The following is a 22,585-nucleotide window of genomic DNA, read 5'->3' as shown; positions in this document are numbered from 1 at the left end:
CATTTGTTTATGGACACATAGTTCAACTATAAATGTATATAGTTGTTGATCATTATATAAACTTTAAATTGAAGTGTTTATTACATTTTATGCTAATAATTATTAAAGTCCAGTGTATTAGTTAGGACTCTTACTAGCTACCAGTTGAAGCAAATCCAAAATAATAGTGATTTTTAACACTATGGAAGTTTGGTTTTTACTCATGTCAATCAGAGTTAACGTAGACTGGGGCAGGTAGGGAAACTACACAAATAAGGGGTCTGCACCCAGATCTCACTACTCTGTCATTCTCTGAGCATGGGCTCTGCCTTAGAGTCTATTGTTGTTACTTGTGCTCTTTATTAGGAGCAAAGAATGGTATTCTTCTTTGCCCCCTTTTTAAGGGAACTTCCCGGAAATCACATAAAGCATTTTCTTTCATTTGTTTCTGGCCAGAATTTAGTGGTCTCTTGGTCATAGTTACCTTCAAAATGGCCATATATCCAGCTAAATGGCAGGGGGCTGTACTAAGTAAGAAAAGGAAAACAGATATTGGGGAACAAAAAGCATCTCTGCTATGGTTACTATATGGACATTTGTGTTTTAAAATAACAAGTTGTTTCTGCCTTTTAGAAAATTTAAATTTAATTAGGTAGTCAACTTATACATCTAAATTAAATACATCTTAAATTTAGATTGCAATACAAATTATTAAATGACTAAATGCCAAGTCACTTAAATAGAATAGCAATAGATTTGCTATAGAAATTTTGAAAAAGAAGAGGTAATTATGGATTAGAGTCATATAAGAGGTTTATGAACTTTGGATTGAAAACCAAGTCAATGAAGAAGAGAAGGCAAAATGTTTCTGGAGGGAAGAATGGCATAAAATAAAAATATAAGGAGATGAATAACCACTGCTGGAGACTAGTGAGGTCAGTTAATCCAATAGTTTGTTATAGAAAAAGTAATATTGAATCAAAAGGTTTATTAATGGTAGAATATGTCGCCTTGAATGTCAGAATGGTTTGGGATTTAATGTGTAGGCAAAGTACCACAAACATTTTGGGCACTGTAATGCAATGATTAAAGCACTTAATATTATGATTAGAAGGAGAAAGACTTGGGGAAGCTTGACCAGAAGATATGCTATTTTAATGGTCAGATGTGGAATTTTAAAGATCTGAAAAAGGGATCAAATAGGAATTAATTCTTAAATAGAAATGATGATATCAGACTTTATTTTTTAAAAACATGAATTTAATGACTGATGTAGAGTGTCAGTTGAGTATCATTTTTTAAGTTGAATGGATGAGAATATCAAAGCTGTTTACCAAAATTAAAAATCAAAAGTTCTTATTTTGGGAGAAAAGTGATGAGTTTAACTTAGAACAGTAAAGTTTGAGGTGTTGACAAGAGGGTACAAATAGCTCTGTTTACGCTCAAGCACTGGTTTCATATTACGTGGTTTTCTTTGCTGTATACTATCCATCAATTGTGTTGTGTGGGGATGCATTTTACACATACACAAAAGGATGACATACTGTTTTAAAATTCTGATTTCATCATGATTATGAAGGCAATTCTGTAGCATTTTTGTTGCATTTTGTATAACCTTATCTCTTACCTGAATCTGTCTTATTTTTCACAGATAATGGTCGTAATAATTGTTCACCTTATGGTCAACCAAGGATGCAGTCATACCTAAACTGACTAAATGATTGATTTTATTGCTCACAGGTTAGAGTAGGTAAACAGGTTGGTAATATGAAAATGAGAGCCATTTGTAATTTGAATGGGGATAACATTATATGCAAAATATGTAAATAAGTATTGCTAAAAAAATTTAGCTGTTTTCAACTTCTAAGATATATCTCTCAATCTGTTTCTTTTTTCTTTCTGTGTTACCAAATTTCTGTACTTATGCCATTCATTTTTAGATGCATAGAACATCTTTGCTGTGTAATTCATTTATGTTCAGTATACTTGATTATGAAAAATTAAAAAGATTTTTTTGTCAAAAACTCAGATGTTTCAAGCACTTTCTCAGATATGCTAAATATAAACTTTTAAAGAAATCTATCACTATCACCATCATCTAAGATTTTCACTTACAGAACTAGGAAACTTGTTCCTGTAGAATCATAGTTTGTTTTATGTTTTTAGCAATGTCATTATTGTCATCTAATTGAATTTATTTGCTTACAAAAATAAGAAACATGTTTCTCTGTCAGACTTCACGTTTTTGTCTGTGTAGCACATATCTAACATCATTTCCCAGTAAATCCTCCCCAACACTTGCCTCATAGAACTTACTGTGCTCACGCTTATTTCCAAGTCACTTAATGACTGCATTATGGGACATCTAAAGGATTAAATGTTTGTGTACCATTTACTTTATTGAGTATTTCATTTAACTACCCGACTTTTCCCTGTTGACTGCTACTCCTGCTGACAGACAGATACCCCTTTAAATAAAAATGCTTTAAGTGTGTTATCTGGCATCTTCAGTATTACCAGTAATCCACTTTGTAATAAGGGTTTTTTTTTTTTTAATTATGGTGATTTATCCTCAGCTGTAATACCATGTATCTGTGTATGGGTTTCTGCCTATTGTTTATAAGAAGTTTGAGAAAACTTCTGGAAATAGAGAAAACCAAACACCACATGTTCTCACTCATAAGTGGGAGTTGAACAATGAGGACACATGGACACAGGGAGGGGAACATCACACACTGGGGTCTGTCAGGGGATGGAGGACTAGGGGAGGGATAGCATGAGGAAAAATACCTAATGTAGATGACGGGTTGATGGGTGTAGCAGACCAACGTGGCACATGTGTACCTATGTAACAAACCTGCACATTGTGCACAAGTACCCCAGAACTTAATTAAAAAAAAATTCTGGAAATATTACAGTGGAAATATCAAAGTCACTCTCCAACCAATATAGTGATATGATCTGAATATCCTAAATACCGAGACTCACTGCCCAGAAACAAAATTAAAATTCAAAATTATTTGATTAGATCAGTGTAATTAAGTCTGGACGAAGGAGGAAAGACTGATAAGAACAAGGCAGAACTTCTGTTTCTGAAGAAACTGAGATATCCTGAGGATTCTAATACCAGTAAGAGAAGATTTTTCTCTAGAGGAGTTCACAGGTGGATGAAAAGGAAAACTTGTAAACACATTAAAATATAATGCAAACAAAGTGCTAGTAAAATTATTTCAAAATGATGTGGAGGGCCAGGCACAGTGGCTCATGCCTGTAATCCCAGCAGTTTAGGAGGCCAAGGAGGGAGGATCATCTGAGGTCAGAAGTTCAAGACCAGCCTGGCCAACATAGTGCAACCTCATCTCTACTAAAAATACAAAAATTAGCCAGGCGTAATGGCGGGCACCTGTAATCCCAGCTCCTCAGGAGGCTGAGGCAGGAGAATTGCTTTCAACCTGGGAAGAAAAGGTTGCAGTGAGCCTAGATCGTACCACTGCACTCAAGCCTAGGCAACAGACTGAGACTCCATCTCAAAAAATAAAAAAGTAATAAAAGTGATGTGGGGTAGAGTTAGATTATCAGCTGTCTGGTGAATTATACAAGCTGGCATTGTCTAGTTAATGGCATCTGGCTCTCTTACCATGACATTCAGACCATCCAAAGATTCTAACTCAATCTACGTTTCCAGTTTTATCTCTTAATGTACAGTTCAAACTTCATTGTTTACCCCTGTATTATATTTTCTCCACTTTTAATTTTTTTGTTTTATTTTCAATTCTACAAATCTGCCTTTTTGTGTTCGTGTCTCTATGTGCCTAGTTCCTAGAGCCCATCTCTGGTTGTGTGCATCTTATCATTCATTCAAAATAAAATGCAGGCCGAGAGTGAGGGCTGACGCCTGTAATCAAAGCATTTTGGGAGGCCGAGGCAGGCGGATCACCTGAGGTCAGGAGTTCGAGACCAGCCTGGTCAACATGATGAAACCCCGTATCTAATAAAAATACAAAAATTAGCCGGGTGTGGTTGTGGGCACCTGTAATCCCAGCTACTCGGTAGGCTGAGGCAGGAGAATCACTTGAACCCAGGAGGCAGAGGTTCAAATGAGCCAAGGTTGCACCATTGCACTCACGCCTGGGCAACAACAGTGAAACTCCATCTCAAAAAAATTAAAATAAAATAAATAAAATACCAACATATGAAGACTTGCCCCCAAAGCAATCTTTCTTTATTTTGTTCTCACAGATAATTTTGTTTTTATGTATATTACAATAGATAGTGAATTTTACCTTCTTCCAGAATTTATTTTGCATATGCCATTTTAAAAACCATTTCAATCTATGCAGTGAGAAATAGTTAATTACATATTTGTATGCCTCGTATCACCTAACACAGTTCTGTGCATATAGTGTATAATAGGTATTTTTTTAAGCTGGATAAACAAGTCAAGATCATAAGTACTAGAACTGAAAGAGAGTTTTAGAGTAGAATTTTAGAGGATCAGTTTCTAAATAAAAATGAAACAAGGAGAACAAGCAGTTGGAGAATGTTAAGGAACATAGAGTTACTGTTTTCTAGGTCCCTGTCTGCACATCTTGCCCATCCTGTCCTCTCATCTATGTCAGTATTCTCCATGAGGTTTCTGAGGATAATATCATGAAGTCAGTTTTTAGATTCCTAGAAAGTTTTATTGACTGTGTAACACCAGCCTGCATCAGGGAGGTGGAATGGGATGGGAAAATAGTATCATGTTCAAGCCCCAGTCACAGGAACATGTTAAGTGGTTAACATCTAAGCATATCTTATAAAAATCTATTTTTAAATATCTATAATCTATAGTTCCAGTGACTCAGTGGTACTGTTTCAGGTATCTGTAAATGGAGTGCTTATTTTGTGCCAACTATGGTTCTAAGTGTTTATGTGTAAAATTCATTAAGTCTTAGCTGTAATCCTAGTAAGTGGCATTATTAGTCCCATTTTACTGAAAAAAAAGTTAATTTATCCAAATTCATGCACCCAGTGAAAAATCCAGGTAGGCTGGTTCCCAAATTCATGATTTTAATTTCTACACTAGGCTAGGTCCAACCAGGGAAGACAATTTCAAAATGACAACAGAATGGACTCTTCATATTAATATTTACTCACCTGGAATGCTTGCTTTCCTGTCTTGTCTTCTGCTTGTGAATCTCCTTGATGGTTCTAAGCCATAAAGCTTTAGACATTCAGCATTTGAAAATTTCATCTGGGAATGATTGTTATTTTTCAAAAGTAACTGATTACTTGGGACCATGTATTTGGGACTCACTAGAAGTCTTATATAGCAATAAGCAGTTTCCTGGGGACAAAATAATACTCTCCTAAAAATACATGGGAATGAGAGCAATACAGTGAAGCAGACTTTTAAAAAGTTTTTTACTTTTATTTTTAATTTTTATGGGCACATAGCAGGTATATAATTTTGATACAAGCATATAATGTCTAATAATCACATAAGGGTGAGTGGGGTATTCATCACCTCAAGTGTTCATCATCTCTTTGTATTATGAACATTCCAATTGTACTCCATCAGTTATTCAAGACACCACATGAAGGTTTTGCCTCCTTTGCATTCTCAAAGCTTTAATGCTTGACCCATGTTGGCATGATTGAGAAAAGTCCTGACCTGTATCAAGGTACTGATTCAATTACTTAATAATATATAACAAAGGAAACATTTAAAAAATACTCGGAGGAAAAATTCCTACCGAATAGGTAAATCAGTGCTTAGGGTAACCCTGGTCCATGATGTTGTCCAGCAACTGAGGTTTCAGCTATCTGCCATTCCTTAGGTTGTTGTCCTCATCTGTCTGATTAAAATGGGCTCAATACCACCGTAAAACTTTTGAGGCCAAAAGAAGACAGGAAAATTAGTAGAAGGCAACAAGAGTGATTGAAGAGTCATGCATATATCACTTTTGCTCACATCCTATCTACTAGAATTTGATCACATGGCTACATCATGACAGGAGAAACTGAAAAGTATAGTTTCTGGCAGGGCAGTCTTGAGGACTCTTACTAGAAGGAAGGAGGAGGAAATGCATATTGAAGCCCTGTTACAGGCCATTCTTCTGGCATTTCAAGTATCTGTGCATACCATTTTTTTCCACGTGTAGAACATATTCAGCTCCTCCCCATAGATGATTCAAAGTCTCAACAAATGAATAAAATCCAGGATCTCTGGGTCACACGCAGTTCTCTCCATCAGGTAGGATGTTTCCTCATTTGACTACCTATAATACAGAATTATGCCAGTTATTTTCTCTACCCTATTCCCATTGCTGCCCAAATATATAATATTCATTGGTCATGTCTGCTGGGTAACTACGATAAAAACTCCCATCTGCAAAATGAGAGTGAGAAATACAGAACAATCACTGACCCATTCACCCTATCTCATTCTATCAGGCAAGAAATACAAAGATATCCTTCTTTTGCATAAAGCTACGTTTCTTGGTTAGCTCATCTCACTGTTTCTGGTAGTATTCTCTAGGATTAACTATCTTGTCTAAAACACTTTCTGGCACATCTGCAGGGGTGTGCTTGAGGCTAAACAGCTTTTATTGCTTGCTGTTACTGGTGCAGGTTTAGAGCCCAAAAGTTGCTTTAGGGTTCAACTACAGCATTGCCGCAGATCAGGTTTGTGGTTTCGTTAGTAACACAACATCAACAACAATGCCCAGATGACTTCTAGTTGTTGTTCTTTTCATCAGTAAATTTCTTGTGCAAGCCACTTCAGTCCTAAAATTTAGTCTAGAAATAATTCTTAATACTGGTATGTTTTATTTATTTGTTAGATTCTAAATTTAGCTTATCCTCATCTCCGTCATCTCTGTGGTGGATTACTTGAAGACATTGCTGAGTACAGAAAATTTGATGTTCAAATAGGTACTGGATATTACTCATTTTTAAATTGTCCATTTGTACCTGTGACCAAGGTTGCTAGCTGTCCACCAAAGTTCTGTCTTCCCATTCCATTGGGAAATTTTCTTTTAAATAAGACTCCCTAGCCAGGGACTACATTTCTCCCACCTTTTTGTCTCTGTAGGACCATATGACAAGTTCATACCAATAGAGAATGAGTGAAAGTAATATGTGTCACTTCCAGCCTGAGACTTTTAGGACTTGAGACTGCTTTCTCCACACTTCCTCCCTCCATCTAGCAGCTGCAAGCCCAATGTCCTGGATGCCCTTGGAATCCAAGTGCTGAAGGAGGCAAAAGATCTCCCAGCTTTAAGACTGCATAACTGCCTGGAGCAGAATCTATCCATGCACTACCACTCTCCACACCCTGCGCAACTTAGCCTGTTATTTGAGTTAGAAGTACTTTACTATACTAAGATACAAAAGATTTCAGATTTTTCATTAAGGCATTTGTGCCACCATGGGTAACATAGAATCTTGTTCCTGTATGTCAAGTATTTCCCAGGTTAAAAGTTTTATTCGGGAGCAGATAACTCAAAATCTGAAAAGGCCAGCTATTTGCTTTCCTAGATTTTTTGGCACCTTTGTGTGGGTATAATCCACATTCTTCTAATGACAGTCATCTACCCTGAACTTGGTTATTGGAGCCATGGTGCAAATTAGGGACTGTGGAGGATCCATTCTGGGATGATAGTAATTGAGCAACACTGAAATTTATGGAAATTTTGTGAGCTATGCAGTACACATTTAGTGAAATAATTTGGGCTTGAAAATAGTCCCAATTGATTATCTTGGCTTGCAGTTCAGAGCCATGACTAATACTCTATAGGAGATGATTGAGACAAACCGAAAATAATGGTCCACCAATTAGATCTAGGCAAAGGACCAGGAGTGACTTTTAAAGGCATTGTTGAGTATATGAAATTTACTTTTTAAAATTATCATGAGACTAAGACTGTGAAGTTTTTAGGATTAGAAAAAATACATTTGAACTTTTTAATTGGGAAATGCAATTAGCTGTCATTTGATGTTTCTACCGAGAGAATCAGTCCTCAATGCATCATTATTTGCTTTATTCTTTCCTAGCAGCTGAAATAAAAAAAAAAGGGGTACTTCGCTATTATTTTTAGACCATGTTAACCAGAAAATGGCACTAAAATCTGCGTACTTTCTCAAGAATATTTTCCTATTACGTATATCAGTATTCTGAGTTAATGCACAAGTAAATACCTGCTTAAATCAACAATTTGATAACACCCGTAACACATCCTATGTATCAGGTGAAGTAAATGGTAGACCAGTAGATTTAGTAAAGGACACACTAACAGTTCATTTTTGATCAGGGGAAAACATTCCTGTAAATCATTGTTATCACCTTTAATGATGACATTCAAAAAAGAGACGTCTACATTGTGAACTGTCATTTTCAGTTCTCTTTTCTGCCCATCCCCAAATCTTCCTGAAACACTAAAAAGTCATCTAAACTGAGCAACATTTCACTTTTTACAGGAATTTTGGAAGTTCTCTTTCCCTTTCTAAACATGCAGCTTTCACTGTGCATGGTTATGAAACTGATTATTTCAGGGAATTAACTTGTATGGTTATTAGCCTTTTTACTCTTTGATCTTTCATAATTCTGAGCCTATATAAGGAATGAACTATTTAAATGACATGATGGGATTTTACAACAAGGGAATTAGTAATATCACAGAAGAAATTATGTTGTTCAATTTTACCATAACATTAATATCTTAATTTGGTTTAATCAAGGGATACTACCTAAGAGTAAATATCTCAGAAAGCCTCTAAGAGAAGATTATTAATATTTTGAAATATAAACCACCTAAGGTTATAAACAATATTAAAATGTAATAGTCTGGCTCATACTGTAAATTATAGCCTTTTAACTTTTTTCTTTCCTTAAAGATATACATTTTATGGAATATAGTAATATATATCACAGTTAATTTCAATTAGCAATGGTAGTGACAACAGAAATCCTAGATGAATGTGATCGGTAAACAATTCAAAAATCTAATTGAAACATAACTTTCAAATTCCAATTTCTTTAAGTTGTTTATCAGATTCGTTGCAGACCACTTTTAACTCAGGATTGCTGCTGTCATATTGGCAGTGGTAACTAATCACTTCTCTCATCTACCTTTGTGTCAGTCTGGGTTCAATCAGAAGAGAGAAAAAATACAGCATTTTGAACAAGGAAAATTTATTTTTCAATAAAAAATTATCTACAGTAGGGATTGGAGTAATGAGGGATTGGCTAGAAGTACAGAGAACTCTAAAGGATTTATGAATATCCGATATAATATTATATAATGTGTAATAACAACTGCCTCTAGGGTTGAGATAGAGTGCCCAAGGCAGAGGTCCTAATCCCCCAGTTCCCCTGGGCTGAGGTTAACATCTTGTAGAGGCCATGGTCATGGCCCACCAAGGTGGAGAAGTCACTGTTATGCCACACTGATAGGATTTGCTGGAAATTTACCCTCTGAGGTTCCAGGTCTTTCCTTGTAAGCTCTCCTCTACAAAAATATCTGGGGCAGGGGGCGGGGCTGGAGGGGTACAGGTGACAAAATTAGAGCCTGAGCCTGGTGAAGCTGGCCATGTTGCTGGAAGTGGGCAATCTGGGGAAACTGCAACACTGTAGGAGCTGAGCTCTGGAGAATATACAGACAGTGCAGGAGACAGACACCAGACAGCAGCACATGCTGCAAGAGCCTGTGAGCAAACAAACCAGAACAAGGAAGAAAAATCCTTTTTCTCATTCAGTGTCTGTCTTGCATCATTTGCAGGCAAACCTTGAAATTGTGCCATCTGATAAAGGAAAAGTATTGAAAGGGCCCAGATCCATTTTCATAGGGCAAGGTAGAAGGATGCATTTGGAGTTGAGTGGCAGGAAATGTATTATCAGCATAGCATGGTACTGAAAGTAGGATACAATTTCTATAAAATTTTAGGTATTACTAAGACCCTATCTTGGAGAGTCAGATATCATAGAGGGATAATGAAAGTGAACTGATGTGTGTATCAGCATGCTTGTTACTTAATTCTAGTGCTACCACACACATACACACAAAAAGGATTATTTTACATCGCAGACTCTCACTTTCTGCAAGTGCAAATTGAACAAATTGCAGTAAACTCACCATTTCAGTTACATTGATTGTGTCAATAATGGTTGGAAGAGTGCTATATTTAAGCTTACTATTCTTTGTAAATATGATTAGTCATTTAGAACAAATAAATCATTTTTTAATATAGCTACTAATAAGAAAAAAATTTCACAGTCAAGGAAGAGTTTCATTGTATATAGTTTTTGACATATCCTAATTGGCCAAATTATCTTAGTTGGCTAATAAACCTGACTCTCAGTAAAGTTCTTCATAATTTCCACAGTTTCTCAGAAAAGCGAAATTGATTGGGGAACGTAAGTCATATGAACTAGGCATTTGCCCAGGAGTCATATGTTTAAACATGTCCAAGTACGGGGACTACTTCAGCATGAAATTATCATCCAATTCATCAGCATTTATTTTTTTCATTAGGTCTAAGGTGTGCATGCATGTAAAGCTTTGTAAAGCATTTTAATTAAAGTAAGTATCAATTTAATTAGAATAGATTTAAATTAATTGCATTTAAAAATCAATACAATTAGATGAAGTTATTTCTGATTATTGCAAAAAGATAAAGGCTGTGAAAGTCATACAAGATTGTTGAATCTGCGCTTGAATTACTTCACATCATTACAATAAATTTAAAGAAAACAGCTTTCTATGGAGTTGTTTTAATTATAGCTGACCTTTTAGTTATTTTACCATGGACTGAGTAAAATTATGCTATTACATAAAAACCCAAGAAAAACAGCTGTCTTATATAGACCAAGAGAATATGGCATTGAACGAAAATATAAGGAGGAAATAATTGAAAGCACAATTTTCATTAGTGGCACATAAATTTTCTGTTAGGAAAAAAATTATAACCTCTGGACACCTACTAAAACATATTAAGTTAGCACCCGGAAAAACTGTATGTGTAAATTTATTTCTGAAATAACTCGTAAAAAGAGAATCGACTATCATTGATTTCCTTTTTGTACTGCCGTGTTGTTTTCCATGTTAAAGCAATATAAGGGCTTAAAAATGATATCTCTCATTTGAACATTGAAGTACGTAAGTGAAATTATGTATCTATTGCTTTTTGTGATTTTTAAAGTCTCATTATTTTTAGAGCATATCTAATATTTTGATTTAATATCTCTCTTTTTTTTTTTTTTTTAGCTTCACCATGGGTTGATAATAGTAGAACTCCAAATAAGATTGACCTTTATGATGTACGCAGAAGACCATGGTAAGAATTTTTAGCTAGCCATGAAAAGATAAAATAGGCAAGAAGATATATATTTGCTAAAAAGTCAGAATTTTTTATTATTAGGATGAGTATTAACTACTTATTGAAAGTGATCTGATTTTTAAAAATAAGTAAATATAGGTAAAGGTAAATGAAAATGATGAGTTCAAGTGGGTAATGCTAATTAATATAGGTGAACCCATTTATCACATTCATTTCAAATGGACTACTTTAAGTTTTATATTTAATCTCAGTACTACACCTCTTAGCTGGTATGGATTTCTATGGCAGGGATCCAGTTTGCTTGGAGTAGAGCTCCAACAGAGAGATGAGATAGAGTAGGAGATAATTTGCCTCTGGCAGTGAACTAATGAGAATTGGCCCCAAGGTAAAAGCTGCCCCTAGTTATATTCATATAGCTTAGGTTTAATTTTTTTTCCAAAATGAAGACTTATTTGTTCCTCACTACTGAAGCAACTTGTTCTCCTAACATAAAACTGGAAAAATACCAATAATTTGTAATTGGACTTACTGGAAAACAACTATTTTTGGGTTTTTTAAAACTATTAATTGTATTTATTTGCTTTTTAAAAATGTATTTAATGTGTGAATTTTAAGAAATGAGTTCACATATACAGTATAAGTGCTTTGTATCCCACACTTTTCATATCAATAACTTTTGAGTACATATTCATGAGAAAAGACACATACCATCATTTGAATGAAGACTATATGGAAACTTATTTATGAAATCCCTTATTATTGGACGTTTAGGTTATTTCTAACTTTTTTCTAGGCTTCAGACAAATTGCAAGAGCATAATGTTTGATTCCAAAGACTTGTATTTAGAGGCTTTTAGATGTCCTTTTAAATATCCCAGTAGCAATTTATGTCTACACCAACCATGTTTAATAGTGACAATTATTACTAATTTACATATTCTTCCTGTGGAGCCATGGGGCTGTTGAGTGGAGCTAAAAACTAATATATAGTCTTGTTTTAATTCAGGAATTGGTTGTTTTGGAGGAGACTTAGAAGCTGGGTGCCAATCAGTAGAGGCAGACATGTCCTGTCTTCTCTTATCTTCCCACTGAGTGGCATACCTGGACCAGCATTAAGATACTAGGCATCAGCCAGGTTTGCTGTCCATGAAAATTCACCTGCCACTCTGCCACTTTACCTTCTTATCAAGCAAGGGTGCAGGTTACAAACTCCAACTGCTTCCTCAACACATAGAACTAATTGTGCTGTATGTTGTCTGAAAACTAATTGGAAAGTTAACTGGCAGCCTCCTGAGAAGTTACATTTACAGTGATGGCTTCAGAAATAAGTAAAAAAATTGATGTCAGGTGCAGCCCTTCCTGTCGGAGAAGTCAGGCCCCATTCCAGTCGGTGGCCAGGCAACGTGAGTGAGCTTTTGGGTCAGTCATACACAATCAAGATGATCTCTCTCCACAACCACTGAACCATCTGCATAAATCTCTTCTAGAGTCTCTTTAAAATGCAGAGATTCTGATTCCACGGGGTTGAATTTGGAAATTAATATTCTGAACTGATTCCCCAGGTGATTCTTAAACACTGTAAAGTTTGAGAGCCATTGAAGTTCTTGGTAATAACATCACATATTGCCTAATTTTAATCTCTTTATTGGCCAGTTATATTTCTTTTTTGTTGATATTGCTTTTTGATGTTCCTAAGCAACTTATCTATTTTTTGTGCTTATTTTTTACATTTAAAAATATGATAGTCTATTTTTCATTAAAGTGACTTTTAAACCTGTGGTCAACAATTGGAGTTTAGATAATTGTTTTTCCAGGAAAAATGTTCTTCTCAAAGTTAAAATATGTTTCTTCATCTTCTGTTATAAATATCAAAAAATGTTAAATATTATGCTTCTGACATCTCTATTGTTATATTGGATATTGCTTTTATCAAACTGACATTGAAGAATATGAATGGAAAACCATTGTCTACTTAGATAGAAGTGGGTCTTTGCTTGGGGAAAAAAACCTTGTCTCAGAGTCAGTAAATATCAATTCAACAAATATCAGTGTTTGATATTTTGGAAGAGAAAAGCATTTATTACAATATTTGTTTCAGGTACATCCAAGGAGCTGCATCTCCTAAAGACATGCTTATTCTGGTGGATGTGTGAGTTGTTAAATACTACTTATTTATATATTGAGAATATGGGAGGATTTGTAGATAACAGTAGTATGGTGGGACTAAGAAAGGTTTGATAGGTTAAAAAAGAAACAAAGAAAAATTATGATGACTTTTATATTCAGGCAATGAAGCCATATCAAGACAATAATAAAACAAATTATTTAATTAAACATGAAGAGAATCTATATGGATATTCATATATTAATATTACATATCATATAATGTTAAATATGAAATATATTAAATAAGTTAATGTTGGAACTTGTTCGGGCATGGTAGCTTCACACCTGTAGTTCCAGCTACTTGGGAGGCTAAGGTGGGAGGATTGCTTGAGCCCAGGAGATCAAGGTTACAGTGAACCATGTTCCTGCCGCTGTATTCCAGCCTGGGTGAAGAGACAATGTCTCAGAAAAGAAAAAAAAAAAAATCTGGGACTTTTAAAAGTGAAATGGTGATATACAAAAAATAATTCCTTGAGTTTTTATGTTGGTCTCTTTGTTATAGTGCTTCAATTCAAGATATATGTGTATGTTTGCAAGTGTACATGTTTTCTAATAAGGTTGAAGATGTAGAAATTGAAAAGATTATATCCTGCTATGGAGATTTACTTTTTTAAAGAGCAATAATCAAGGAATTAAAATAAACATGAAGTGTAAAATGCTTAGGTTACTCATGTTTTTCCTCAAGAGAAGAAATGCTCATGTTTTTCCCTGAGGAAAAAAAAAAAAAAATCTTTGTCTCATTGGAAGAAACAAAATCTAGTAATTTGGGGACAGCTAAATCCCACAGGCAAGTATTAACATTTGAATTTTCCCCATTTTAAGCTCAAGTAAACCAATTTAATTTAGTTGTCCAAACCCTCATAACCCAGTCTGAGAAAGAGAAGATAAATGAATTCAACAAATGTAATTTAAATGTTAATTCTTATTTTATTTCTTAAGATGCATTTAAGCCTCATGTTACTTTAATTAAATTATGGATCTTATATGCTAATCCTTGATATTCTTCTTAAGTATAAATCAATATATTAATGCAATATATTATAATCCTGTTGGATGTATAATAATATCCAGAAATAATGTCATTTCAAAATCTATAGAAGCCAAATTTATATCCCAAACTTGAAAGTGTATATGAAATTTAAATACTATTTTCAAAAATTCTTTCAACAGAAATGTATTGAGGTCTTCCTACACACAGTGTAGTAACATAGAAACAAAGATGATTAAGACATAGTTACTGAGACCAGACGTGGTTACTCACACCTGTGATCCCATCACTTGGGAGGCTAAGGCAGGTGGATGGCTTAAGCCGAGGAGTTTGAGACCAGCCTGAGCAACAAAGCAATATCTCATTTCTACAACAAATACAAAAGAAAAACCAGCTGGGCATGGTGGCACACACCTGTAATTCCAGCTACATTTTGGAGGCTGAGGTGGGAGGATGCCTGAGGCCAGGAGATGGGGGCTACAGTGAGTTGTGTTCATACCCTGCACTCCAGCCTGGGCAACAGAGCAAGAGCTTGTCTCAAAAAAAAAAAAAAAAAAAAAAAAAAAAAAGGAGATATACCTAATGTAAATGACAAGTTACTGGGTGCAACACACCAACATGGCACATGTATACGTATGTAACAAACCTGCACGTTGTGCACATGTACCCTAAAACTTAAAGTATATTAAAAAAAAAAAAAGACATAGTACCTGATCTCAAAGATAATTCAAATGTATTAGGTAAACTAGACCTTAACAAATAACAAAAATAATTGTAGAAATTAATAGATATAAAGTATGACATAGCACTAAAGGAATACATAAGAGATAGCAACTTGATTTAATGTATCAGGAAAGCATTAAGGAGATAAAATTGGGATTGAATCCTCATGGCTCATATTTTCAAAGGCAAGCATGGGAGGGGAGAGGAAAGACAGTGGAATTTCAGGTGGAAGAATTGCCAGAAGTGAAGCTGCACAGGTAAGTCTGGGGACATTTATGGAGGAGGTAGAGGATTGAAAATGCCTTTGCAAAATTTTGACAGTGAGACAAATCTGACATGGTTGCCTCTATCTTGTTTCTAGCTTCACAGGCTGATTGGCTGCTCATTCCTGGGTGTGGGCCAAGATAACTTTGGGAGAAATTTAGTTTATAGTTTAAATGATAATAGCCCTTCCCTAAAACGAAACTGCCCTTATAAAACTAATGAAAGGCTACCAAATTATAGGATAAGAGAAACTTGAATTCTACTAAGATGTAGATGTAGTTAAATAATTACTAGCCATTATTCTGGAGGTCACAAGATTTGCAACTTCCCCTATTATTCCTGTAAATAACATCACTATTCTAGAACCTCAGATGGGGCTTTTGAGATATCTTTTCAGGCTTTTGCATTTCTAGCAGATGGTCCCACGGGGACCTGTGCCTCAACCAATCCTGTGCTCCCCACCCAAAAGTGGGCTCAGCACAAGAGGGCCATTTTCCACACCCCTGTGATTTCATCTTCAACCAGTTAGCAGCACTGATATCCTAGTCCCCTGCCCATCAAACTGTCTTTGAAAAATCCCTAATCTCCCTCCGAGCCTTTGATGAGATTGATTTGAGTAATAACACCATCTCCTGTCTGGCATGACTGGCCCGGCATCAATTAAACTCTTTCTTTACTGCAATGCCATGGTCTTTGTTAGTGCAGCGGGCAGGAAGAACCTGTTGGGTGGTTACAGGGAGGAGAGAGAGAAAATGCCAAAATGAAAGGATTGGAATACAGGGCTATTGAGATTTCTGGCTATTTAGTCGGTATCTATGAGCTGTTAAAAATATTAGGTCAGGATGTGTTTCTAGAACTTTCACCTGTTAGCATGTGAAGGAGACTAATTGCTGGGTTGACTGGCTATTACTGTAGCTCAGCATCTTCGTATAATGAAGACTGAGCCAGAGAGGAGTGAGGATGGAGAGGGGACCATAGCCTTGGAACACTTAAGTGGAATGAATAAGGGATTTTGCCTGAATGCACAGGAAGGTTGAGAGGGAAGAACAAATTGGATGGCTGAGACATAGACTCTTTGGTACCAAGAACATAAATAGGAATGAAAAATATGTTTGGAAGTAATGTGTCATTTTGGACATTCAGTCGTAGTGGTTCAGCAGGCAGCTCGAAGGATAAAACCAGGAAAGTGTTGGGAGCTAGAGATGTAGAAGTGGGGGTTAGTTGCCTAGAGTTGAGCCAGCCCTGCACATAGGTGAAGTCACCAAGTATTGTAGAATATGTAGAGGAAAGAAAAATGAAGAATAAATTCTAGAGGATATTTACTTTAGGATGCAGAACAAGGCATTTTCTTGCAAATCTGTTATCATAATTGTTATGTGGATTTATAATTATTGTTTTAATCAAGTCAAACAATGGGTTCCCTGGAGCAATGACTATGTCTATTAATCTCTCTACTCCTCTCTTCTAACTTGGCTAACAGAACCGAATGAGTGACTATACCATCAGTATCCATATTTTTTTTTAATTGTCACTTAACATGTAATTTTGATAATTTCAGTTAGAAATGTACACATACTGATATTGGGAGGAAAAAAAGGCAGGATTTCTTATAATTTCCACTTCTATCAAAAAATGTAACTTTTTAAACTGATTTTCAAGGGCAAAATTATTATTTAAATAATATATAAAAGATCTAGGGTCAGTGCATACATTATCTTTCCTTATGATGTTCTTGATTAAATACATGATGAGTAACATGTATGGACCCATTTGTCTATTTCTAGGAGTGGAAGTGTTAGTGGATTGACACTTAAACTGATCCGAACATCTGTCTCCGAAATGTTAGAAACCCTCTCAGATGATGATTTCGTGAATGTAGCTTCAGTAAGTATAAGATGACTGCATTTTCCTGAATTAAATTTGCAATTTCTATCTTCTCCTGACTTTAGGTACTTTATACTTTTATCTTATAGAGGCTGAGACATTTTTGATATATTGCAAGACTATCTTACTGACCTGTCCTATTTTAGCGACTGATCTTCTTATAATTCTTTTTTTAAGGTTTTTTATACATATTATATATATATATTATATATATATTATATATATAATATATATATAATATATATATATTATATATATATATTATATATATATAATACATATATATAATTTAAGTTTTAGGGTACATGTGCACAACGTGCAGGTTTGTTACATATTTATACATGTGCCATGTTGCTGTGCTGCACCTATTAACTCGTCATTTAGCATTAGGTATATCTCCTAATGCTATCCCTCCCCCCTCCCCCCACCCCACAACAGGCCCTGGTGTGTGATGTTCCCCTTCCTGTGTCCATGTGATCTCATTGTTCAATTCCCACCTATGAGTGAGAACATGCGGTGTTTGGTTTTTTGTCCTTGCGATAGTTTGCTGAGAATGATGGTTTCCAGCTTCATCCATGTCCCTACAAAGGACATGAACTCATCATTTTTTATGGCTGCATAGTATTCCATGGTGTATATGTGCCACATTTTCTTAATCCAGTCTATCATTGTTGGACATCTGGGTTGGTTCCAAGTCTTTGCTATTGTGAATAGTGCCGCGTGGATCTTCTTATAATTCTATGCCAGGAGCCTTTTTGAGTTTCTAAGAATTTATCCCTGGTTAAAGTAATTGAAGTAATGACTATAAATAAAAAGCATTCCACATATCCTCCTTCACTCAGAAGAGCTTAAATAAGTAATATGAGCCCCTTTACTCACGGACACCGTTGAAACTCCTAGAAAATAGCAACTTGGCAGTATGATTATATGGCATTTTCTATTCATTATCATCCTCATTTCATCTTGGACACATATCTATAATGTATTATGTTTTTATAGTATGTTTTTCTTGTTAACATAAAAACCAATAGATATTTGAATGTGCTCTTATTAAAGTCTCCTCAGAACCATCATAGACCCTCCTACTCATAGCTAGAAAGTACTGAACTATGAAGCAAATGAAATAAGACAAACAAATGTTACCATGTGTCATTTTAATTCATAGAATTTAGGCAAAATATTTCATGGCCATTTTCTGGAAGATATATTTACACTTGAGGTAAATATATTCATAGAGATGTGAAGACGAGGAATTTGTGGTAAGGGTTATTTTGTATTGAAAAATGGATCTGTCTCTGAAATGACTTGGGAGGAAGAAGTTAAAGTAGCTGGTCTGAAATTGATTTACTCACCAAGGGAGACTAGAAAGAAGAAGGCAGGAGACTTTGTTTAGTCCCTTCTCACCTGAAGCTCCAGGTAGCTAGATTATTGATATTTACTAGGAGGAAGAGAATTTATCCCTGAAATGTTTTTAGTGGTGTATCGCGGCCTAAGAGTAGGTATAGGAAAACACGATACCTATAAGGCAAGGTTCCTGGCAAAACACTCTCACAGGTGATATAATTCTCTGGGGAATAAACTGTAAGTATTTTATAATTTACAAGGAGCCCTGTGAAACTCTTTTTGTGATTTCCCTTCATGTGGGCAAGAAGAATGTGTTCAGCACAGGAAGGAGGAGCTGGGAAGCCCTCCTCCGTGTGAGGCCTCTATCTACTTCATCTGAACCTTCAGAAGTCCTTTAGCTTGTCTATATTCTCAACATATTCTCAACATTATTTATTAAAACTTGATACTGCATAAGATCTCTGATTCATTTAAGTCTGATTTTACAATCTATCTGACCCTGTATGTCAGCTCACTACGTATTTCAACAGAATGCAAACAAGTAGAATGTAATACTTGATCTCTCAAATAAGATCATCAGGAAAGATACTTATTTGGCTTTATTTGTATATAAACATATAGTTCATAACAAACCATTGGGATAGTTCTTTAAAAATACTATCTGTGGCATAGCAAAAGAGAAAGTCTTAAATCCAGTGCAGATTTGACATCTAGGTGAAATTTATATAAAACTAGCAGATATTCAATGTGGTGAATGTCTTATTCTGACTTCTTCGAGAAGCTGAATCTCACTTGCAGATTCAAATATAAATAGTGTATTTGGGAGGTGATCACAGGAAACACTACTACTTAAAGAAGTCAGGCAGTGGATGGAAGGAAACAATGACAGAATCTTACTTTAATTTAAAGGAACTTAATTCTCTGAGGAATTCTGGAAGCCATACGTAATATTCACTTCAGAGTTAACCTGCCCCAAATGCAAAGGAGCTGAGGTTTTAGGTAGCAGCCTTCCCTGTGTGTGGGAAAAACAGACTGGGCACAAGAGGGAGTACTGAAACAAAAAGTTGTAGGTGCTGGTAGTTAGAAGCCTGGCCCAGGATCCAGTCTATCCAGTCAATGATTCTTAAAGATGGAGACTGGTCACAATCTTTAAACAAAGAAACATGGAACATCAGGATGGTGGACTTCTAGATTTAGAACCAAGGACATAATTCATACTCATCTTTTCTTTCCTCTAATACCTTTCCTAATTTCCCTGCAGCCTTGGCCAACTCCTGTGCTGGTGGCTTGCCTGATAGGAGGAACCAGACTCTTACTCCTCCTGGGGCCTATGAATCCATGGTTTCTGTGCCCATTCAAATGGTGGTTTCTGCAGTTGTCCATTCACAGTTATCTCCAACCACAGACATACTTGAACGAATCCCAAGTTCCCTCTTACCATTATGTAGCAGCAACACCCATGATATTCCTCTTGTCAACTGGAACCCTGCCAGTAGCATCACTTATTTTTTTTTTTTCTTGTAGGTCTACTGGCATGAGAATTGAAGCATATTCAGATAGTAGCTATAGATTTAGGTTTAGTTAAATTCTTTCTGGGACCCTGATAGGAGCACTGCATTACCTGCCCCTTTCCCCCAACACATACACACTTGGAAAGCAGAACATTTATTTCAGTGGAGCCTGAAGTCTCAATGACAAGAAGTACACCTTTCCCAAGTGGGTCACTTTTAATTATAGTAAGAGGGGACTTTCCTACTTTACCCCCTTGGTTTTCATATTGATACATTCTGCCTTTTAGGGGCAAAGCCAGGGGGGTGGAGGAGAAAATTGATGTGTAGCATTTGCCAATTTTCATGATGCAAATATTCCCACTATGACCAATTTTAAGCTACCAATGTGAGGTTAACTGGCTTTTAAGTTTCGTGAAAATTTCAACCATTTTTAAAAAATTATTATTAGCAGTTACAAGCTGGCTTCAGCACATAGCACCATGGTTCAAAATACATATCGCATTTTGAAGACAACATCCCCAAATCAGATTTTCATCTGTAAGCTGGAGCCTTAGTTGTACCTTTAGAGGAGACTGTCCCAATGTTATCAGGCTGGCAGCCTCTAGTGATGCAACATATGGTAGACCCTGTGAGTCCTGTGGTCATGTGCTTATTATTGGACTCCCTGTACTATAACATGTGTTGCTTAGTTTGAGATGTTATTCAGTATCCCACGATAAATCAGTCAGTATTTGTGAACCTGAGGATTAGTGATACTTGATGACACCTCATCTGTGAACAAGAAAGGGGAACCCATAACTGGAATTTGTATCCATAATAGGAAAAACAAATTTGACCCCTTCTCCAAGGGGGTAAAATGCAATATAATAATTTTTTACATCGAGTTGCTGGTTGCTTTCTTTGAGAAGTGGTACTATAATGAGGACTCAGCATCACACTATTCCCGTGGGTTGGTTATTTACCAGTGGCAGTAGTTGCATCAAACTGGAGGAGCTTTTAGGCCCATGTGTATCCTCTCTCTCTACTATCAAGCTCCTCCATTCATGGGCCTATTTTGCAAGCAGTACAGTTGACACATACAGAGCTGGATGATCTCCAGTGGACAGATCATCTTATCTACCCAATTGTTTAGTGCCTTTTCTGTGACGAATGTTCTCTAGCACACATTGATGCAAAACAAAGACATCTTTATGCTTCATGCCTACCTCCATAGGTCCATCCTCATGTTGCTTCTCCAAAACTATGTATGAGGAACATCTTCTAATCTTGATCCTTTTAGGACTTTGGACAACCAGCCATGCCATTTATAACTGTATAGGAGTCCATGAGTTTTCTAATTGTAGGTTACTTATTTTCCACAACATATTGATGGCCAGTTATATTTTGCCTCAATAACCCTAAACATCCATTCCCTGGCATATTATCTCAGTATCTTCTGGTTCATATTAGGCAGATCCTGCAACTCTTTTGTTAAATATCTTCTTTTGTTTTCTTGGAGTAGAGACTGTACTTTTCAAGGTGGGCCGTGTTGATACTTGGCCTTTTTTTTTTTTTTTTTTTTTTAACTTTTGAGTAGGTTTATTGTCATGTAACCTTTTGGGATTCTTTCCTTTTTTTAAAAAATTATATATATATATATATACACACACACACATATTTATTATACTTTAACTTCTAGGGTACATGGGCACAATGTGCAGGTTTGTTACATATGTATACATGTGCCATGTTGGTGTGCTGCACCCATTAACTCGTCATTTAGCATTAGGTATATCTCCTAATGCTATCCCTCCCCCCTCCCCCCACCCTACAACAGGACCTGGTGTGTGATGTTCCCCTTCCTGTGTCCAAATGTTCTCATTGTTCAATTCCCACCTATGAGTGAGAACATGCAGTGTTTGGTTTTTTGTCCTTGCGATAGTTTGCTGAGAATGATGGTTTCCATCTTCATCCATGTCCCTACAAAGGACATGAACTCATCATTTTTTATGGCTGCATAGTATTCCATGGTGTATATGTGCCACGTTTTCTTAATCCAGTCTATCATTGTTGGACATTTCGGTTGGTTCCAAGTCTTTGCTATTGTGAGTAGTGCTGCAGTAAACATACGTGTGCATGTGTCTTTATAGCAGCATGATTTATATTCCTTTGGGTATATACCCAGTAATGGGATGGCTGGGTCAAATGGTACTTGGCCTTTTTGTTGTCTAAAGCCATTAGATGAGATAGGATCAGATCATGAGGAAAGTATGCATCATCTTTTATGGTCTCTAGGAACGCAGAAGCTACTGCCCTCTAACTAAGGGTCACAGGTTACTTTTGCCTGTCCAGAGGGTATAGGGGAATCCAGAATTTTATATTCTGAAGTCCACTTAGATGTCCTCATCCTAGTACAAAGGGTGCTT

The 22,585-nt window shown here is 36.0% G+C and overlaps 1 protein-coding gene across 16 annotated transcripts in view; it reads left to right on the top strand.

Moving 5' to 3' along the window:
• The window catches only part of CACNA2D1 (calcium voltage-gated channel auxiliary subunit alpha2delta 1), a 497,513-nt gene that overhangs the window by 366,204 nt on the left and 108,724 nt on the right, over window positions 1-22,585 (top strand). For all 16 annotated transcript variants that reach the window (XR_001744873.3, XM_005250574.4, XM_005250572.4 and 13 more), the window contains exons 8-10: window positions 11,229-11,298; window positions 13,399-13,449; window positions 17,226-17,325. Coding sequence is in view for 15 of the 16 variants with exons in the window: in XM_005250574.4 (XP_005250631.1) it covers window positions 11,229-11,298; window positions 13,399-13,449; window positions 17,226-17,325 (221 nt within the window). In the remaining variant the exon portion in view is untranslated. The remainder of the gene's footprint in view (window positions 1-11,228; window positions 11,299-13,398; window positions 13,450-17,225; window positions 17,326-22,585) is intronic.

This window comes from Homo sapiens, chromosome 7, assembly GCF_000001405.40.
Source record: "Homo sapiens chromosome 7, GRCh38.p14 Primary Assembly".
Classification (NCBI taxonomy): Eukaryota; Metazoa; Chordata; class Mammalia; order Primates; family Hominidae; genus Homo; species Homo sapiens.
The sequence above is the reverse complement of the archived record's forward strand: the minus strand, read 5'-3'. Positions and strand labels throughout refer to the sequence as shown.